Source organism: Homo sapiens, chromosome 12 (assembly GCF_000001405.40).
Source record: "Homo sapiens chromosome 12, GRCh38.p14 Primary Assembly".
In the NCBI taxonomy this organism is placed as follows: Eukaryota; Metazoa; Chordata; class Mammalia; order Primates; family Hominidae; genus Homo; species Homo sapiens.
The window spans coordinates 96,851,943-96,874,127 of NC_000012.12; the positions used below are offsets into that span (position 1 = coordinate 96,851,943).

At 36.8% G+C, this 22,185-nt stretch overlaps 1 protein-coding gene across 2 annotated transcripts in view; it reads left to right on the forward strand.

Moving 5' to 3' along the window:
- CFAP54 (cilia and flagella associated protein 54) overlaps positions 1–22,185 on the forward strand; it is a 385,979-nt gene that overhangs the window by 362,366 nt on the left and 1,428 nt on the right. For both annotated transcript variants that reach the window (NM_001367885.1, NM_001306084.2), the window contains one exon: positions 8,877–9,010. In NM_001367885.1, coding sequence (NP_001354814.1) covers positions 8,877–8,996 — 120 coding nt within the window. In that variant the 3' untranslated portion in view covers positions 8,997–9,010. The remainder of the gene's footprint in view (positions 1–8,876; positions 9,011–22,185) is intronic.

Here is a 22,185-nt window from a genome sequence, read left to right on the forward strand (position 1 = left end):
TATTCACAGACATAGAAAACCCAAAATAGTCTTCAGAAAAACTCTTAGAATGAATAAGTGAATTTAGCAAAGTTGCTGTCTGTACTATCACTGGAAATATAAATTTTGTTTCTATATAACAGAAGCAATAATCAGAAATTTTAAAAAATTAAACTCTCATTTATAGTAGTACCAGAAAATTCACATGGACATACAAAGGACCTAGAATAGCTAAGACCATCTAAAAGGAACAAAGTGGAGGGACTTAAACTTCTACCTATCAAATCTCATTAAAGAGCTACAATAACACTGCATGAGATTGCTGTAAGTATAGATAAATAGAGTTAGAGAGGATAGGTAGGTAGGTGGGTAGGTAGATAGTCTCTATATATTTATAGAATAGAAATGCTCTCTCTTCATCTATCTGGACTCTCCGTTGTATTTCTATATAATAAGTCCAGGAAGAGATCCATACATATACAATCCCATGATTTATGACAGAGGTAACTCATCTTTTCAATAAATGAGTTGGGTCAATTGGATATCTAAAAATAATGCACCTCAACCCTTACTTTACAGAATATACAAAGTGAATTCCAAATTGATTGTGGCAATAAATGTGGAAGATAAAACAATAAAGCTAGAGGAAATAATAAGAGATTATCTTCATGACCTTGGTGTTAGCAAAGCTTTCATAAATAGGATGCACTTTTGAAAGTACCAATCATAAAGAAAAGACTGATGGATTGGACTATATTTTAAGATACCATAAAGAGGGCAAAATGGCAAGCCACAGAGTGGGAGAAATTTTTATATATACCCCAACAAAGGACCTGTTTCTAGATTATATTAAGAATTCCTGTATATATGAATGAGAAAAAGACACCTCAATATAAATTGGACCAAAGACCTGTACTTCAACAGAGTCCTATACTTAAGTTCAGTGTTACTAGTTTTCAGGGATGTGACATTAAAAACATAGTATGGTGGTATATGACACATGCAAAACATACCGGAACAGCCACTGTTTTAAACAGAAATTGTCAGAGTTTGTGAAGATGTGGAATAACTGGAGCTGGTGGAAAATATAAATTAGAAAATTGTTGAGGTACATTATTTTTAGATATCCAATTATTTTTAGATATCAGCTTAAAGAGGAATATACATGTACCTGGTGTATATGCCTAATAGAAATGTGACATATATGCATCAAAAGATATTTTTATTCATAACACCAAAAAATTGGAAGTAACTCAACTGGCCATCAACTGGAAAAATGAATAAATTGTATTACATTCATACAATGAAAACTACGTATCAATAAGAATGAACAAACTATTGCTTCATTCAACAACATGGATGAAACTCAAAAAAGCCAGACAGGAAAGATTACATATTGCAAGATTCTATTCATATGCAGTAAAAACAAATACATATATATACACACCTGGTCAGTGACTAGGAGGGAGCACCAGGGAGACTCCTTGAGTGCTGACCATGTTCTATTTCTTGACCTGGGTGATGATTACATGAATATATTCATTTTGAAAGAAAGTGTATATGCAAGTTGCACATTTATGACTTCTCCTTTTCTGTCTACATGTTATAATTCAATCAGAAGAATTTTTACTTAAAAGAATTTTTACTTTTTACTTAAAAGAATTGTGTTTGGCAAGAGGAAAATATAGAGCACTGTATTTTAGCATGATAGAAATAACTAAAGTTTGAAGCATCTGACTTGTCTACCAACAGGCTTAAAATGCCTGGAATGTCTAGAAAGGAAGGCATAATAACACAAGGGTCGGTTCTGACATTTTAGGGTAGTTTGTGTTCTCCTGAGAACCAACAAGGATTAATAACTCCTGGGTGACAACTGCTTTATTTTATCTTTCTAATCTGTTGCTTTCACTCGTGGCCTCCATAAATAAACTAAGCAATTAATCTTCATCCTTTGACAAATGACCACTTGTCTCTGGAGGCTCAATGACAAGGTCAGAGACCAAAATGCTCTATTTGTATCTAGTATATAAATTATGTCGTGAAGATAACCCTAATGTTAAGTAAAATTAACGTAGCCACTTTATTTTTTTTAAAAAGCCATTCCTATCTTTAACATGGAAAGTATTCCACAATGAAAGCAATAGAGCACAAAAGAAAATACAAATATATTAATGCTAATTATTATTTCTTTGTTTCCTACCTTGATTATCTGCTAAAAGGATTAAGTCAGACATGAGATAATTCATTACTATAAAATAGGTGGACTATTTAGTGCAGTTAAGTAGCAAAGAGATACAACCATAATAATCATGGTAAACACATATAATTTCAACATATTAATAAACCGGTTAACATTAGCTTGCCAAAATGTTTCTTGTATTTTTCTGAATAAAAAATAGTAGCGAAATAGCAAAACAACAACAACAACAACAAAGATGTGTAACATTCTCTAATATATTACCTTGAGTGTAGGGAAACCCTCATATATTGCTGGTTGAAATGATAATTGCCCCAACATATTTGGAAAGTAATTCTGGCAATAAATGTTAAGGTGTAAAAGGTAAATGGCATATGACTAAAAAACAACTTTAGAGAATCAATAGTACAAAAATTGAAAGCACTTGTGTACAAAAATATATATAAATAAGCAAGCATGTATAAAAACTAGAAAAAAACTCTATAGGGAATGATTGTATAAATCAGGATACAGCCAGTCCATGAAGTGTTAGGTAGCCATTTAAAAGGATGTGTTCAATAATGATAATCATATGTAGCCTTTATTGAGTCATCATTGTATGCCAGGTACCATTCTATGTTTTATTTGAATAAACTCATTTAATCCTTGTAACAAGATGATATAGGAACTATTATAATGTCTTTTTTTTAACTTTTATTTTAGGTTCGGAATACATGTGAAGGTTTGTTACATAGGTAAACTCATGTCTTGGGGCTTTGTTGTACAGATTATTTTATCACTGAGGAATTAAGCCTGTATTAGTATGTTCTAAATAAAGACATATCTAAGACTGGATAATTTGTAAAGGAAAGAGGTTTAATTGAATCACAGTTCTGCAGAACCAGGGAGGCCACAGGAGATTTACAATCATGGCAGAAGGGGCAGCAAACATGTCCTTCTTCACATGGGGGCAGCAAGGAGAAGTGTGCAGTGAAGTTGGGGAAAAGGCCCTGATAAAACCATCAGATCTCACGAGAACTCACTCACTATTACGAGAACAGTATGATGGTAACTGCCCCCATGATTAGATTACCTCCCACCAGGTCCCTCTCATGACACATGGGGAATATGGGAACTATAGTTCAAGATGAGATTTGGGTGGGGACACAGCCAAACCATTTCATTCTGCCCCTGGCCCCTCCCAAATCTCATGTCCTCACAATTCAAAACACAATCAGGCCATCTAACAGTCCCCCAAAGTCTTAATTCATTCCAGCATTAACTCAAAAGTCCAACTCCAAAGTCTCATCTGAGACAAGGCAAGTCCCTTCCACCTATAAACCTGTAAAATCAAAAGAAGGTTAGTTACTTCCTAGATACAATGGGGGTACAGACACTGGATAAATACACCCATTCCAAATGGGAGAAATTGGCCAAAATAAAGGGGCTACAGGCCCCATGCAAGTCCAAAATCCAAAAGGGCAGTCATTAAACCTTAAAGTTCCAAAATGATCTCCTTTGACTCCATGTCACACACCCAGGGCTTGCTGATGCAAGAGGTGGGCCCCCACAGCCTTGGGCAGCTCTGCCCCTGTGCGTTTGCAGGGTATAGCCCCCCTCTTGGGTGCTTTCATGGGCTGGTGTTGAGTGTCTGTGGCTTTTCCAGGTGCACAGTGCAAGCCGTCAGTGGATCTACCCTTCTGGAGTCTGGAGGATGGTGGCCCTCTTCTCACAGTTCCACTAGGCAGTGCCCCAGTGGGACTCTGTATGGGAGCTCTGACCCTACATTTCTTTTCTGTACTGCCCTAGCAGAGGTTCTCCGTGAGGGCCCTGTCTGCAACATACTTCTGCCTAGACATCCAGGCATTTCCATATATCCTCTGAAATCTAGGTGGAGGTTCCCAAACCTCAATTCTTTAGTTCTGTGCACCCACAGGCTCAACACCATGTGGAAACTGCCAAGGCTTGGGGCTTTCACTCTCTGATGCCATGGCCTGAGCTGTACCGTGGCCCCTTTTAGCCATGGCTGGAGCAACTGGGAGGCAGGACCCCAAGTCCCTAGGCTGCACACAGGAGGGGCCATCCTGGACCCGGCCCCTGAAGCCATTTTTCCCTCCTAGACCCTGGGCCTGCCCCGAAGGTCTCTGACTTGCCCTGGAGCATAAATTGTGATGTTTTCTCCATTGTCTTGGTGATTAACATTTGGCTCCTTTTTACTTATGCAAATTTATGCAGGAGGCTTGAATTTCTCCCCAGAAAATGAATTTTTCTTTTCTATTGCATTGTCAGGCTGCAAATTTTCCAAACTTTTATGCTCTGCTTCCTCTTGAACACTTTGCTGCTTAGAAATTTCTTTTGCCAGATACCCTTAATTATCTCTCTGAAGTTCAGAGTTCCACAGATCTCTAGGGAGGGCAGGGGCAAAAGGCCGCCAGTCTCTTTGCTAAAGCATAACAAGAGTCACCTTTGCTCCAGTTCCCAACAAGTCCCTCATCTCCATCTGAGACCACCTCATCCTGGACTTTATTGTCCATATCACTATCAGCATTTTGGTCAAAGCCATTCAACAAGTCTCTAGGAACTTCCAAACTTTCTCACATCTTCCTGTCTCCTGAGCCCTCTAAGTCTCTAGGAAGTTCCTAACTTTTCCATATTTTCCTGTCCTCTTCTGAGCCCTCCAAACTGTCCCAACCTCTGCCTGTTACTCACTTCCAAAGTCATTTCCACATTTTCAGGTATCTTTACAACAGTACCCCACTTCTGTTACCAACTTACTGTATTAGTCTGTTCTCACACTGCTAATAAAGACATACCTGATACTGGGTAATTTGTAAAGAAAAGAGGTTTAATATACTCACAGTTCTGCAGGACTGGGGAGGCCTCAGGAAACTTACAATCATGGTGCGAGGGGAAGCAAACACATCCTTCTGCACATGGCAGCAGCAAGGAGAAGTGCAGAGTGAGGTGAGGGAAAAGCCCCTTATAAAACCATCAGATCTCATGAGAACTCACTATCACAAGAACAGCATGGAGGTAGCTGTCCCCATGATTCAATTACCTCCCACCGGGTCCCTCCCGTGACACATGGGGATTATGGGAACTACAGTTCAAGATGAGATTTGAGTGGGGACACAGCCAAACCTTATCAAACCTAGTACCCAATAGTTATCTTTTCTGTTCCTCTGCCTCCTCCCACCTTCTACCCTCAAGTAGACCCTGGTGTCTGTTGTTTCCTTCTTTGTGCCCATAAGTTCTCATAATTTAGCTTCCACTTGTAAGTGAAAATGTGGTATTTGGTTTTCTGTTCCTGCGTTAGTTTGCTGAGGATAATAGCCTCTAGCTTCATCCATGTTCCACAAAAGACATGATCACGTTCTTCTTTTATGGCTGCATAGTATTCCATGGCGTATATGTACCACATTTTCTTTATCCAATCTGTCATTGATGGGCATTTAGGTTGATTCCATGTTGATATGATTTGGCTCTGTATCTCTACCCAAATCTCATCTCAAATTGTAATTCCCATGTGTCAAGGAGGGACCTGGTGGGAGGTGATTGGATAATGGGAGTGGTTTCCCCCATGCTGTTCTTGTGATAGTGAGTTCTCATGAGATCTGATAGTTTAAAAGTGGCTCTTCCTCCTTTGTTCTCTCTTTTCTCCCACCCCGCGAAGAGGGTGCTTGCTTTCCCTTTGCTTTCTGCCATAATTACAAGTTTCCTGAGTCCTCGCCAGCCATGTGGAACTGTGAGTCAATTAAACCTCTTTTCTTATAAATCATCCAGTCTCAGGCAGGTCTTTATAGCTGTATGAAAACGGATCAATATACACGTCTTTGCTATTGTGAATAGTGTTGCAATGAACATTTGTGTGCACATGTCTGAAGTCTTAATGGTAGAATGATTTGTATTTCTCTGGGTATATAACCAGTAATGGGATTACTGGGTCTAATGATAGTTCCACTTTTAGCTCTTTGAGGAATCACCATACTGCTTTCCACAATGGTTGAACTAAGTTACACTCCCACCAACAGTGTATAATGTTCCCTTTTTCTCTGCAACCTTACTAGCATCTGTTATTTTTTGACTGTTTAATATAACAGGTGTGAGATGGTATCTCATTGTGGTTTTGATTTGCATTTCTCTAATGATCAGTGATATTGAGCTTTTACTATATTCTTCTTGGGTGCATGTATGTCTTCTTTTGAAGTGTCTGTTCATATCCTTTGCCCGTTTTTTAGTGGGATTGTTTTTCTCTTGTAAATTTGGTTTCAGTTCCTCATAGATGCTGGATATTAGAGATTCATCAGATGCATAGTTTGTAAATATTGTCTCCCATTCTCTAGGTTGTCTGTTTACTCTTATAGTTTCTTTTGCTATGCAGAAGCTCTTAAGTTTAATTAGATCCCACTTGCCAATTTTTGCTTTTGTTGTGATTGTTTTTAGTGTCTTTGTCATGAGACCTTTGCTCATTCCCATGTCCAGCTTTGTATTGCCTAGGTTATCTTTCAGGGTTTGTATAGTGTTGAAAAGGCAATACTGTTTGCAATTGCCACAAAAAGAATAAAATACCTAGGAATACAGCTAATCATGGAGGTGAAAGATCCCTGCAATGAGAATTATGGAACACTGCTCAAAGAAATCAGGGAAGACACAAACAAATGGAAAAGCATCCCATGCTCATTGAAATGAAGAATCAATATCATTAAAATGGCCATACTGTCCAGAGCAATTTACAGATTCAACACTATTCTTATCAAACTACCAACAACATTCTTCACAGAACTAGAAAAAACTGTTTTAAAATTAATGGAACTAAAATTATGGAACCAAAAGACAGCCTAAATAGCCAAGGCAATCTTAAGCAAAAAGAACAAAACTAGAGGCATTATGTTACTTGACTTCAAACTACACTACGGGACTACAGTAACCACAACAGCATGGCACTGGTACAAAAACAGGCACATAGACCAATGGAACAGAATAGAGAACCCAGAAATGTTGCCACATACCTATGACCATCTGATTTTCAACAGAGGTGACAAAAAAAAGCAATGGGGAAAAGGCTTCCTCTTCAATAAATGGTGCTGGGGTAGCTGGCTAGCCATAAGCAGAAGACTGAAGCTGGACCCCTTATTTATACCATATACAAAAATCAATTCAAAATAGATAATTTCTAGCTTATGCATGTGGAAATTAAAGTTCAAACAGATCAAACATTTTACCCAGTTTCACATAGCTGGTAAGTGGTGAGGTCTGAATTTGAAACAAGCAGTCCTACTCCAGAATGCACTTTTTGTTTGTTTGTTTGTTTGTTTTGTTTTTTGTTTTTTTTTTGAGATGGAGTTTCACCCGGGCTGGAGAGCAATGGCATGATCTTGGCTTGCTGCAGCCTCTGCCTCCTGGGCTCAAGCAATTCTCCTGCCTCAGCCTTTCGAGTAGCTGGGATTATGGGCACCCACCACCATGCCTGGTTAATTTTTTGTATTTTTAGTAGAGACGGGGTTTCACTGTGTTGGCCAGGCTGGTCTTGAACTCCTGACCTTGTGATCCTCCCACCTTGGCCTCCCAAAGTGTTGGGATTACAGGCGTGAGCCACCACACCTGACCCCAGGATGCACACTCTTAACACTGTGTAGTTATTCTGTCTCCCTGAATTGATTAAGGAGGGATTTGTCTTACATATTGCTAATTGAAAAAGCCAATAATGGCAACCTAATAATTCCATTTTTTTAAAAAAAAGAAAAAAACCATCTGGAAGGATACTCTCCAATCTGGAAACATTGATTATATTAGGATTGATCAAGGAAGGGAGAGATTATTAATTTTTTATTTATTCACCTCTCTATTGTTTGCAGTTATAGAAAACACTGGAATACTTTATCATTTTTTTAATCCAAGAAAGTGACAAAAAAGTTAACAAAAACCAGCCTCCAAATACAATATTCACATTTAGGTTCATTATGCTTTTTTAAGAATAAAATGAATGACTGGCTTATTTAACAAGTAGACAAGAAATTAATAAAAACTTGTTCTCTAATTTTTTTTTTTTTTTTTTTTTTTTTAACCAGGATTCAGACCCACAAGGCTGTAACTCATTGTGGTCATTCTACACAAGTATATACCTAGATTGGCATGAAGTGGGTCCCCAGCAAACATTTGTTTTCTTTCCGTCATTTTTGTTCTCTCTTCCCTGTCCTTCCCCCAATCAATAACCAGTTCTATGACCACAAAAGCCGTCTTTATTTTCCATTTTTCAGCCTGCCCAGGATGACTTTGGCTGTACTAGCTCTCGCTCGTGATAACACGGTGCCTCTTTTAGATACACTGATCTCCAAACATAGCTTCCTGGTGCATCCTTCTTCACTGTGTCAAGACTTATGCTCCAAATGAGAGAGGGAGATTTGCCAACTGGTCAATCTGTTATGCAGGAAAGCGTTTTATTAGGAGAAGGGCCAAAAGTCTTACATTTAGAACCATGTACAATGATTACCTAAATACAAATAGTCCATGTTTTTAGAAGTGTTTGCTGTTTAATAGGATGTAGAATGATATGTGTGCCATTTCAGCAGTTTAGAGGTATGAAACTTTGTGCCTTACCTGAGACACACAAGTTAGCTATCTTTCATATAAAATTATTAGAAATTGCTATTTGGGTATTTTGAGAACTTTGTCAACAGTTTGAAACAATGCATTTCATGAACACTTTTATGTTTTTCCTCAGGTCCCATTTGATATCTCACTGCCGTCTATATTCAATCTTGAGAGACTTTTTGATCTGGCTAATGGTTGCATTTTATCAGGAGGAAGCCTTTTCAACTGGATAGTGTCAATTATTCCCTGAATATCCTATACACGGTAACCTTATACAGGATTTAATTGTTGTTGTTTCTCTTCATTTGAGCTAAGTTTTTGGAACGGTCCTCTTATAACAACAAACATAAAATTGTTTTTTTACACAAGCTAAATTTCTTTAAAATTATTATTTTGAGGAATGTCTTAAATTGTACCTGAATTAAATGACGGTGCTGCTGCTTATTAAAACTATCTTACAGAGCTATTCATAGAAAACAAGTTTATGTGCAGTGCAACTGTTTTCACATTTGGAGTCATTTATGTTTAGGTTGTTTTTGGACAGGTCCATAAAGCAAGATTGGATTAAACCAGTGGTTCTCAATTGGGAGTGATTTTGTCCATTAGGTGACATTTGACAGTGTCTGGAGACGTATTTGGTTGTTATCACGGGTAGAGTACTAGTGGCATCCAGTGAGTAAACATCCTACAAGGCACAAGACGGCTCCCACAACAAAGAATTATCAAGCCCAAAATGTCACTAACGCTAGTCTTGAAAAACCCTCAATTAAACCCCGACATGTGGTAATTTCAACTTTGGAAATTCTCTAAATGGCTTGGGAAAAAATCTGTAGCAAATGAGACCTTCCATATTTTATACTTCTGAGAGGCAATATTGCATAGAATTTTAGAGTGCCAGCTTTAGAATTGTATAGACCTGGGTTTAAATAGTAACTTTGCCATTTGCTAGCTTTGCTACTTTGGAGAATTAACTTAAATTCTGTAAGCTTTTATTTCTTCATCTGTAAAATGGGGATGTTGGTATCTATCTCATAGGATTGCTGTGTGTATTAATTAGGTGAGTTGAATTAATAAGGTGCTTAGCACAATGCCTGATGTAATAATAGAGTGCTGGGAGCATTGTTTCCCTGCCAAATTGGAAAAGGACCGTGCATTTCTGACTCATTTTGTCTAGTGTCTAAAAATGCCACATGTGAATACTTCCCAGATGCTAGTCAGTGAATGAATACTCATGGTTTAAAAAAATAACAACACAAATGTGTTTTTCTAAAGCTAAATTGGTTTAATGTATCATCCTCTATTCTGAATTTCCTACTAGTATTAAAAAGGCCTTTTTAAAAAAAAATGAAACAACGGTAATAGTAGCTGGCAGTTGACATTTTAAAATAGTCTCCTTTGATAATATAAGAAAAAGTAGAAATTTTATGTTACTACCTAAGCTTTTAAATGTAGACATCTATGAAGTTCTAAAGTCTGGGAAAAGCGAAGGTAGAATTGTTCTAGAATATATGTAGAGGAAACAAGCCTTTAGCAAAGCATTTAAGGATAAGAAGATTTTGGTAGTTGAAAATTTGTTAAAAAATTTTGCTAGAAGGGGGCACACTGAAGGAGAACAGAGGCATAAAAACAAAAATACATATGGTTTATAGTCAAAGGACTTGACTGTGACCTACCTGGAGTGTGCACAGTCATGATGGAAAACAAACTGTAAGGAGGAACTAGAATGAAGACTTCAGGATTGAATCAGTAGATAATAGGGTGCCATTACAAGTGACTGAGGAGAGAAGTGACAAGTTCCTGACACTAGTACGCATTTAATAAATATTGGAAGAATGAAAGGAATGAGTGGAATGAATGATGGCCTGGCCTCCAGGGCAGATAAGAATGCAAGATATAATGAAAGGGAAAGAAACAAAAGACAAGAAGACTGATAGGAAACCATCTTTTAATGAAAGAGAAAAAGAACCAAATATTTACTCATGAATTCAAAGGGAAAAATTGTTGCATGATGTCTATACCCTCATATGAAATAAAGTTTGATTCAAACAGAAAAGCTATTTGGATGGTAATGGCTCTTATGTGAAGATGGCTTCTGAGTCCTTTGGTCTGAGGCTGGGGTTTACACGTTTCTTTGCTGAGTTGGAGATCACTTTGAAGGGTTTGCATTTCTCAATGGTGAGAGTTTAATTTATTATGCAAAGCTAGTTATCAAGGTCAAGAAAGGTGCAACAAAGTACCTACACATTTAATACAGGTGTGGAAACAGCATGACTCATAACCAAGACCATTTACCTCAACCTCATGTTAATTTCCCATGAATATAAATGCCCATCTTCTGGTTTTTGTCACTAGTAAGTTTTTACTAGTTAGATACTTTCTGTTTTTCTTTACTTTAGTGAATGTAAGTGCTTGTACTATTTTTATAGAACCCTAGAACAATACCTGGCACATAGGTCTATATTTGTTGGATGGATGGATGGATGGATGGATGGATGGATGGATGGATGGATATAATCCAGGAAAGATGGCACTATGGAGTTCTAAAAAAAGGAGGGAGGCAGAGGTATCACCAACACTCCACCATCATTACCGCTAACATTATTGCCTACCCTTTCTGGAGCATTTACCTGACAGGCACATATTTGTAAGTGCTTCAGTGCATTTTCTCCCTCCTGTCTTCACAAGAATTATGACCACGATGCACATAGTATTACTGACCCCATATTATAGACGAGGAAACAAAAACATAAGGCAGTTAAATAACTTGGCTAACAATCACAGTTAGTCGGAAGTAGAGCCAGGATTTAAATCCTCCCGGAAGAATCTGAGCTCTTCATCGCTAAGCTGGCCTCCTCTGCCCTTCTACCCACTCCATGGCTCTGGGAAATTGGATAGTAAAGGGAGAGGAAGACATAGTTGAGGTTCAAGCTAAAACTGGGACACCTGTCATCTGCCCTGGGGGCCGATTTTAAAAAATGACTTGCAGATCTGAATGGATGCCCCAATAATCCATGGAAGGGGGTCCCCCATGTTATCAGTTATTTGTGCTAATATACTGGTTTCCTCTGGGGAAGGCAGAGCTCTTCCAACTATTGCAGATAACATTTCAGCACTTTTTTTTTTTTACTTTTTCTTCACTTTCAGTTCTTACAGATGCTGTTATTCTTGAGTGTTGTTTTGCCTGAGAGAAATACTGTCTAAAACTGCACCAGACCATACAGTAACAGTTTCCCCGTTTTAAACCATCATTCCAAAATTCCCCATCTTTTCTAAAATAGGAGCAACACTCACTGGTTAAAGCTGTAACTTTCTGTGCAAGGCGGTAAGGAAATGATGATGAACTGGGCTGAAGTACAAACAAAAAGAAAATTCAAAATCTACAGGATGAAAGATGTGTTTATTTCCAGAAATGTCTTTCAGAGTTTTTTTAAAGACCAAATTACACAATTTGCAGCTGGTTTTTAAAAATATACAGTATCTGCAAATGCTTTATAGCAGACACCTGCAATGTTTTCTATTTGTTTTAATTATAACAGAGAATGACAGGAGGCAAACTGAAAGGGGGAGAAGAAGGGGAACAGACACAGGCGAGGGAAGTCAGGAAAGAGCGAAGAGAAGCCCATGCCAGCAGCTAAGTGATAGGTAATAAAACTGCAGCACTTCCCATATCTTTCTCCATATCAACCTCCAAGAGATTGCTTTAGAAATTGACCACTGGCCAGCTATTCAGAGGCTTAAATGCAGTGGTCTTGGTTCACTTCACGCATAGGCACTTTACACAGTCCCCAGCTCAGCCAACGTGTTCGTCACAGAACTGCAGGAGGGAAGTGGTAAATTTCTGGAGAGTAGAAATGTACTCTCCAGAAACTTGGTTTCTGCCTGCAGTCTGCATTGCCCCTTCCTGCCCCTTTTGAGCAACATCATGCAAATCCCTCCATCCAGTTCAAATGACCATGCAGAAGGGTGTCTGCCTCCGAGGACTCCTAGAGTACTTCCAGGTGCCCTGCTCATTTGGCTCTTAACAGTGTCCTTGGACACATAGTTTTGTATTGTATTTTCATATAACAGCCTTAGACAGTAGCTCAAGAGTGTCGTAAGTGTGTGAGCCTGCTCCACATTACTTTAGGTTACATTCAGTTTGAGACTGGGTACATTGTTTTTCCTAATGCATCATGGAACTTATAGGATGCCCATAAAACCTGAAAACTTAAATGAAATATACATGTCTTCCAACACATCTTCATCCATAAAAAAGATTTAAATATTATTATTTATTTAATATTATCTATGTGTGCATAGGCTTGAACAAGCCCCTAATGGGGTTAGGGGAGAAAACAGTGAACCCAGAAGTCCACTGCTTAACTACTCTTTGCCATTTTCTCTCATTTGAAATGTTATGGTATATTCTACAAAATGAGCTCCCACCCATTTGCCCAACAAGACTTGTGCAAATTTCTGATGCATTGATTATAATAGTAAAAACAAAGGAAAACCTATGAAATATCCATCAGGTGGAATGGATAAAGAAATAGTGGCATAGTCATACAAGAGAATATTTTATAGAAGTTACAAATAAGTAAATAATGAATAACTAAACAACATTCGTAAATGGATTAATAACAGAGATATATATCAATCTGGATTCATCTCAAAAGCAGGTTTAGCAAAAGAAAATCAAGTGTTGCAGGATATATGTAAGAAGATACCATTGTATACTATTTGTATAAAGCTTAAACACAGGCAAAACAACATAATACAGTATTTATGGATGAGTACATATATACTAAAAATATTTTTAACACAAGTTCATTAATGATTGACACCAAATTCAGGTTTGTGGTCACCTCTTGGATAAAGGAGGGAGGATGAAATCTAGGGAAAATGCTCAGGAGGTTTCATTTGTCTTTGTAAAATTTTCTGTCTTAAGCTGAATGTTTGTTATATTAGTCTCTACTTCTTTTGCATACATAATGTGTTTCATAAATTAAAAACACATCGATTCCCTTCCTCATCTTGTTGGTTGGCAAGCTTTGTATAGTTATTGGCTCGCCTATCAGTAAATAACTAATAAATTGAACTATGATTCTCATCTCATTATATGACTGGAACTGAGTAGTTCACATCTGGTTTCATTATTTTGGGTTTTAATGACAACTAAAAATCATTTTGAAACTAATGTTAAACTATATACATATGCCCAATTTTAGAAAACTCAATCTATGAAACTATTAAATTTCAATATAAGATAGTAGAGCCTTAATAAATGTTTAATTAAATTGAGTCAGATTCCCTGTTCAATTCCTATCCATTGTAAGTTCCTCACTATAATTTAAATTATTTGATTTTCCAAAATTAGATATATGCAGAACTTTTTACATGACTGTTATGCAAAATGAGATTTACTTGTAAAATCCATCTATCATCCATAATTTTGATGTTAAAAAATATATTAAGAAAGAAGTTTCTCTTTACTAACACTCATTTTCTATTTCTACTTTCCACTTCAGTAGAGCCTTATGAATTGCAACTTTGACTCTAAAATTTCTATAGCAACAGATATTTTTTGTCATAAGTACAGGCATGATTAAGAAGAAGGTTTCAGTGACAGCAGTTTTCTTCATAATTAAATTCATTAGTTAAAAAGCTGGGTTAAGAGGGATGGGAATTTTTTTACAACGAGTAATAATTTGTAACATAACCTGTAATATATAAACCCTGTAAAATAACCATTTTCAACTATTCAAAATTAATTGCAAATGAATTGCTTTTGTTCCTGTTTGATATTTAAGATAACTTTCATACATTTTGTATTTAACAGCTTAGAATGGAATAGGTCTAAAACCAGATTCTGCCCAAGTACAAACCACCCTGAACCATCCCTTTAAATTGTACATGATGTGAAAACTGAGTAGATTTCTAAGAAATTCAAAGATTTCTAAGTAGTTTCACAACTTGCCTAATTTAATTTTTCCCCACAAGATTCACAAGAATTTATTGGACTGATTTCTTTTCTTATCATTATAAATGCAATTCGGAACTAATGTAGAAAATCTACAAAATACTGAAAGGTGAAAATAAGTTACCCAGAAGTCAACCACTGTAAAATAACCATTGTTAATATTTAACTACATTTTCTATAGCCTATCTAATTATTTTCCCTAATAGCCAGAAATAAAACAAAACAATGTTCAGAAAAGTATTGAGATTCAAGTCAACTGTTTATATTCCCTAAGTGTAACATAGACAGGCCTTTTCAGAGCTTATTGGCTGGGAAAATGCTCAAGTTGAAAATGTTTAGGCCTGCTGGGGTTTGGATGAAATGCAGTTAGAATGATCAAGATGTAATTAGGGCCAAAGGAATTGTCCAGAGTTTGTTTTCCTAGTAATAAAGTATATGTAATGATCCATAGGAGGGAAAAAAATTAAATCTTCATTTTGTCCTTTGGAGGCTGGTCATTTAATCTCTTTTTCATAGACACATTAGTATTTCTCTGACAAACTGAGCTCATTCATTCAAGCATACATTTGTTCATTTGATAGATCTTATTCATTAGTCTGGTCCTCTGCTTCCTGGCAAAAATGTCCTTTCTCTTTATTTAAAAAAAAATTATCAAATTCTAGTACTATGCCAGGAACTGTGAACACAAGCAGTGACACTTAGGCAGTCCTTTCCTTCAAAAAGCTCACATCTGATCCAGCGATCTAACTACTGGCTATATATCCAAAGGAAATGAAATCAACATGTCTAAGAGATATCTGCCCTCCTGTGTTCATTGCAGCATTACTCTCAATAGCCAGGATATGGAATCAACGTAAGTCTCCATCAGTGAATGAATGGCTAAATAAAATGTGGGATGTGCGTGTATATGTAATGAAATATTATTCCGCCTTAAAAAGTAAGGAAATTATGTCATTTGCCACAGCGTGGATGAACCTGGAGGACATTATGCTAAGTTAAATAAGTCAGGCACAGAAAGACAAATACTGCATGATCTCACTTATATATGGAATCTAAAAAAGTTAAACTCGTAGAAGCAGAGAGTAGTTACCAGGGACTAGAGGAGGGGCTGTTGAGGAGATGTTGGTCAAAAATACAAAATTTCAAGTTAACAAGAAGAATGTATTCAAGAGTTCTATTGCACAAAATAATGACTATGGTTGGTAACAATGTGTTGTACGCTCAAAAATTGCTGAGAGAAGATCTTAACTGTTCTCACCACAAAAAATAAGTATGTGAGGAAATGCATATATTAATTGTCTCGATTTACCTATTCTATAATAATAATCAATGTATATATATTTCAGAATAACATGTTTGTACATGATAAATATATACAATTTTTATTCATCAATTTAAAAAAAAGACTCATACCTAATGGCCTCAAGTCTTCATTCCGGACTCAACCCAGACGTCTCCTCCACCATGGAACCTGTCCGTACCACTTCCTCCCTGGTGTCTCCATGTAACACATAGGTGCTCTTATCACACTCATTCTATTTTGCACGTGCTTGTTTACATAGCTGTCCTCTCCTTGAGGTCAGGGACCAAAGTAGGTAGATTTCAAGGAAACAAATAAATTTATGTTCCCACTTTGTACAAAAATTTATTCTTAGGTTTAGATTTATGTTTATTTGACTCCTACTGAGGTTGAATGTTTTTCACATTTTTTGGTCCACTGTATATTTTTCTGTTGTCATGCTTCTTCAGGATCTTTGCTCAATTTTTTACTTGTATGTTCATCTTTTTTTTTTTTTTTGAGATTTCCAAGATCCCTCAATAACAGGAATACAAACTGTTTTTATATATTTTTGTGAATTTTTTTTTACATTCTCGTTTTCCTTTCCATTTTTGTTTATGGTTCAGTGGTTCTTATTTTTTAAATTGTGGCAGTCTAATCTAGACCATTTAGTTATTCGTATTTGAACTTGCTCAAAAAAATGTAAGGTAGCTTATAAGTATGCATTCAAAATAATGGTAAGATTAATTAAAACCAGACAAGAACAATTAGGCAAGGAAGACATGGTAGAAAAGTAAGATGGAGCCAGGAGTTGAGCCCTTTTTTTTCTTTTAATTTTTTTAACGTGCCATTCATCCTTTGCATTCACTGGGAGTCAACCATAGATTGGCTGTATGCTTTCCTGCAGCACTTGTTAACAAGTAAATACAGTGCTTTACAAGATAGATCAACAGCATTTTAAGGGAAAAACGGACTACATACTTAGGAGATGCATTGCTGTTACTGATCCTGGTACTCATTCCAGCAAATAAGTTTTCCTGTGAATCCTGATAATAACATCCCATTAAAAAACTGTCTTCAATAGCAGCCCACAGGAAAATAAAACACATTTTATAGATCATTTCAAGGACTGTAGACTTTTCTTTCAAGGATTTGTCATTTATTTTATTTTTGCAAAACAATATCCATTTCTGACTAATTAGTTTAAAACAATTTGGGAGACATGTAGCAAGGGAGGGATATCAAGGAAAGGAATGTTTTTATTGACCTTAGAAACAGTTTAATTTTTGTTCGAGGAAAAATAATGTGTTTTTTTTTCTTAGAACAATGTTGCTGGTTAAAAATATTTTTCAAATATATTTTGGGTTGTATGGAAAAAACACACCAAAACGGCTATTTCTCAAGACTTCAAAGGCTGATTCTTTGAACTGCTTGAAATAAGTTGGTTGATCAATCTTGACATTGCATCCAGAATGAACACAATATACAAGTAGTGCTTCAGCAATTCAGGTAACCACAAGTACATAGTTCCGCTTGAGGTGCTGGAAGTCAAATTCAAAAGTAGAGAAAAGAGAAACAGTTCTGCAGGAGCTGAGTCGATATGGGAATACTATTTGATGTATATATTTCTGGATTGGTGATTGAGGAAAATTAATTTCTCTGACATGAAAATTAATACTTTTAGTTGAGTTGGAATTATAATTTTTGTAAGAAAATAGATTATTATGGGCCGGGTGCAGTGGCTCATACCTGTAATCCCAGCACTTTGGGAGGCTGAGGCGGGTGGATCACCTGAGGTCGGGAGTTGGAAACCAGCCTGACCAACATGGCGAAACCCTGTCTCTACTAAAAATACAAAATTTGCTGGGTGTGGTGGTGCATGCCTGTAATCCCAGCTACTTGGGAGGCTGAGGCAGGAGAATCGCTTGAACCTGGGAGGCAGAGGTTGCAGAGAGCCGAGATTGGGCCATTGTACTCCAGCCTGGGCAACAAGAGCAAAACTCCGTCAAAAAAAAAAAAAAAAAAAAAAGGAAGGAAGGAAGGTTATTACATTTAGGCCGGGCATGGTGGCTCACGCCTTTAATCCCAGCACTTTTGGATGCCGAGGTGGGCGGATCACAAGGTCAAGAGATTGAGACCATCTGGCCAACATGGTGAAACCCCATCTCTACTAAAAATACAAAAATTAGTTGGGTGTGGTGGTGCATGCCTGTAGTCGCAGCTACTCTGGAGGCTGAGACAGGAGAATCTCTTGAACCTGGGAGGTGGAAGTTGCAGTGAGCCGAGATCGCACCACCGCACTCCAGCCTGGCGACAGAGTGAGACTCCATCTCAAAGAAAAAAAAAAAAGAAAACAGATTATTACATTTAAAGGAACTATAAAAGTTACTTAGTTGAATTCTCTACTACAAGCTTAAGTCTCCTCTAAGTTGTTTCCATCAAGGAACAACTACCCTATGTTTGAATAGCAGCGTAGCATCATGGATGAGGGAGTCAGCTATGACATCGGATAGTCCTGGCTTTCCTTTTACCACCTGCATGAATTTGGCCAAGTTCCTTAACTTCTCTGTACTTCAGTTTTCTCGTCTGTAAATTTAGGATACATAAAGCACCTAGAACAATGTCCAACACATACTGGATGCTCAATAACAGGTAGCTCTTACCATTATTACATTCTTATATTATTACATACATCTTCGGGGGAAGTTCGTTTCTGTCTAGAAGGATCAGAGGTTATTTATTGTTTTGTTTTGGTTTGGTTTGGTTTTTTTATGGTAATGATAGGAGTTCATTTCTGGTGATAGCAGAGTGGCTTTTATTGAACTACCATTTGCCAATAACAATTTTGAACTCTGGATCAAAAAACAGTGCAAACAATCATAAAATCAGAATTAAAATGATGTTTGAAGTCCCTGGGGAATGACTAAAAATAGGCAGAAACCAAAGGAATGGTAATCCTTGAAATATGGAAACAAACTAGGTGAGGTCCACATTTAAACAGCCTATTCTCTGAGGACACACCTCATCTTGCAAAATACGTAAGGGACAGAGTGCAATCAGGAAGAGGCTGAATGACTGAACTGAGGATTCAGAAGTCAGGGTGTGGGTCTGCCAGAGTAGTTAGAAATTAAGGAGGGAATGTTTCAACAAGGAGGGAGACAGTGTGGGGAGCCCTAAAATCTGTGCACAAATTCTCCTAAAACTGTTGGCTGACTACCAACAACACATGGACATGATGAGACTCCAGAGAATCCAATGGAAAGTTATAGCTGAAAGGCTCAAAGAACAAAGCCTCAGAGATTTCAACAGCTGCATGGTACTGGAGAGACAAATTTTGTAATTCAAGTCCAGTCAAGGAAAAGGGACTTAATAAATTATTTGTGCTTTTCATTAAAACCCTAGGAGGGAAATACCTTAAGAATAAGGATTTTAGAACCAAGGACTACAAATGAGGCCTAACAGCAAAGCAAAAATAGGCCCACCCATCAAACCTCCATAAGATAAAAGTGGTTGTCAGTAATTTAACTGTATGCTAGAACAAAACTCAACGACGTTGCCCACAATGTACAGTAAATAATTAAAAATTACTTTATATACAAAGAAGCAGGAAAATATCATCCACAATCTAGGAAAAAAACAGTCAACACATTTCCAGAAGTTCCAGGTATTAGAATTAGCAGATGGAGACTTTAAAATAACTATAATATACATGTAAAATAATCTATTGAAAAAGATTGCTATAATGGATAAAGAGATGGGGGATATCAGGATACATATGGAAATGGAAAAAGAACCAAATGGAAATCCTTAAACTGGAAAAATAGATCTGAAATTTAAAAATTCATTGAATGGACTTAGCAAATTAGGTGCTACAGAATTTTTTTTAAAAAATAGTACACTTCTGGACAGATCAGTAGAAATTATCTAAGCACTGAGAAAAAAATGATTTTCAAAAATTTCAGAGCTATGATGGCCTATTCATGTTTCGACATGTGTGAAACTGAAGTCTAAGATAGGAAGGGAAGTTAGGAAAGAGCCCCAGATAGGAAGAAATTGAAATCCTAGATAGGAAGGAAAGAGTCCTTTGAAAAAAGGATGGCAAAATTTTTTCAGATTTGATTTAAAATATTAACCACCTTTGGATTTAGGAAGTTCAATGAACTCCAAGCATGATAAATAAAAAGAAAACCACACCCAAGCAAATCATAGTCACAGTTCTGAAAATCAAAAATAGGAAAAACATATTAAAATCAACCAGAAGAAAAAACACAAAGTCCTAAGGAAGAGGGCAATAAGAGTAAAGGCTGACTTCTCATCAGAAACATTGGAGACCAAGTGATAATGGGTTGCCTTCTTAAAAGTGCTGAAAGAAAAAAAAAGTCAACCTATTAATCTAGATGACTTACACTAGACTTACATTTAACCATATTATTAACTATATTAAGTGTAAATGGACCAAAACTTTCATTTGAAAACAGAGATTGTTCTATTTTAAATAAAAGACACCAACAGATTGAAAATAGAAGGATGGAGAAGTGGAGACCATGTAAACACTGAACATAAGAAAGCTGGTGTCGCTATATTGTCATTAAGGTATATTTCAAAAATGGATACTGCCAGAGGTGAAATAAAACATTTTATAATGATGAAAGCATCATTTCATTAAGATGACATAGTTCTAAATGTGTTTCCATTTAATGATGAGACATTTTATTTTTTAACATCTAGTACAGTAATTCCCTTTAAGGACAGAGGTGCCTTGATTAGAAAGGTATTTTGATAAGTCTGTTGGAGTAGGTGGTCTCTATGAGCCATTGATGTGGGGTAGCTTTGATGCTTCAGAGGAGCAGGTAGAATTACTTGAGACAGGAGATAGGGTCACAAATCTTCCCAGTTTTTCCAGAACTGAGATTGACTTTCAGTGCAAAATCTGGGACTATCCCCAAACTAAGACAGCTCCAGGCAAACTGGAATGGCTGCCTATCCTACAAAGAGAGGAATTTATTTACTTTGAAAATTGGAGAAATAAAAGAGAAAGAGAAGAAAAGAATAGATAGCCATCAGATGACAGAAGGTTGTACAGTGGATTAAGTGACCCATTACAGTGATCCCTCAAACATTAAGTAAAATTACTAAACTCACAAAAATGATGGTTGTAAAATGTGTTTGAATGTTTGAGAAGCTAGTGATGAGGTAGAATGGTTGAAAAGTTGCATGCATCATAAACATGGTATTTCTGGAACAAGGATCATGAGAACATAAGTTTTGGGGAATTTGTAGGAATCATGGGAATAGTTTTAGACTTTCATAGGTTATGAAATGGGAGGTTTGAGTCAAGCTTGGGGATAATAAGGGAAAAAGAGCTGAGATTATATCTGAATCTTACAACTGTATTAGTTAAGAATCATTTGGTTTTGGATAATAGAAAATCTACCTTTAACTGGGTCATACACTAAAGGAAATTTATTTGTTCATGTAACTGAAGATTCCGGAGGTAAGGTGAGCTTCTGGCTCGACTCAATCCAGAGGTTCATGATTCACATCTCAGCTGTCATTCATTTCTCAGCAGTTATCTCAGCAGTCCCCTTCCTTGTGACATTTTGTCTTCAGTCTAGTTTTCCTGTTGGCAGCAACAGTGGCCATAGCAGTTCCAAGACACATTCTCACACAATACATGGGTCTTCAAACTTTTTCTATAAAGGGCAAGATAGTAAATCTAGCTTTGTGTCTCTATTGCAAATAGTCAACTCTGCCATTACAGTGCAAAAGCAGCCATACACAAAGTATAAACAAAAGGCATAGATGTGTTCCAATAAAACTTTAAAAAATCAATTTGAATTTCTTATAATTTTCATGTGCCATGAAATATTATTATTTGTATTTTTCTCCCTACCATAAAAATATGAAATTATTCTTATTCTTAGCTCAGGAACTGCACAAAAACCAGGCAGTGGTCCAGATTTTACCTGGGGGCTATGATTTGCTGACCCAAGACTTCAAAGATTACCTGACTAGAGTGTTAATCAAAAAATTTGGTTCTCCGTAGCATATGTTCTCTTTTGTCTTCTCCATACTCTCACTCAAGATAACCCTATCCAGTACCATTTATATGCCAAAATCCTCCAGTATTTTATCTCCAACCCAGAGTGCTCTCCTATCTCCAGATTCCTGTAGCCACCTGCCTACTTAACATCTCCATTT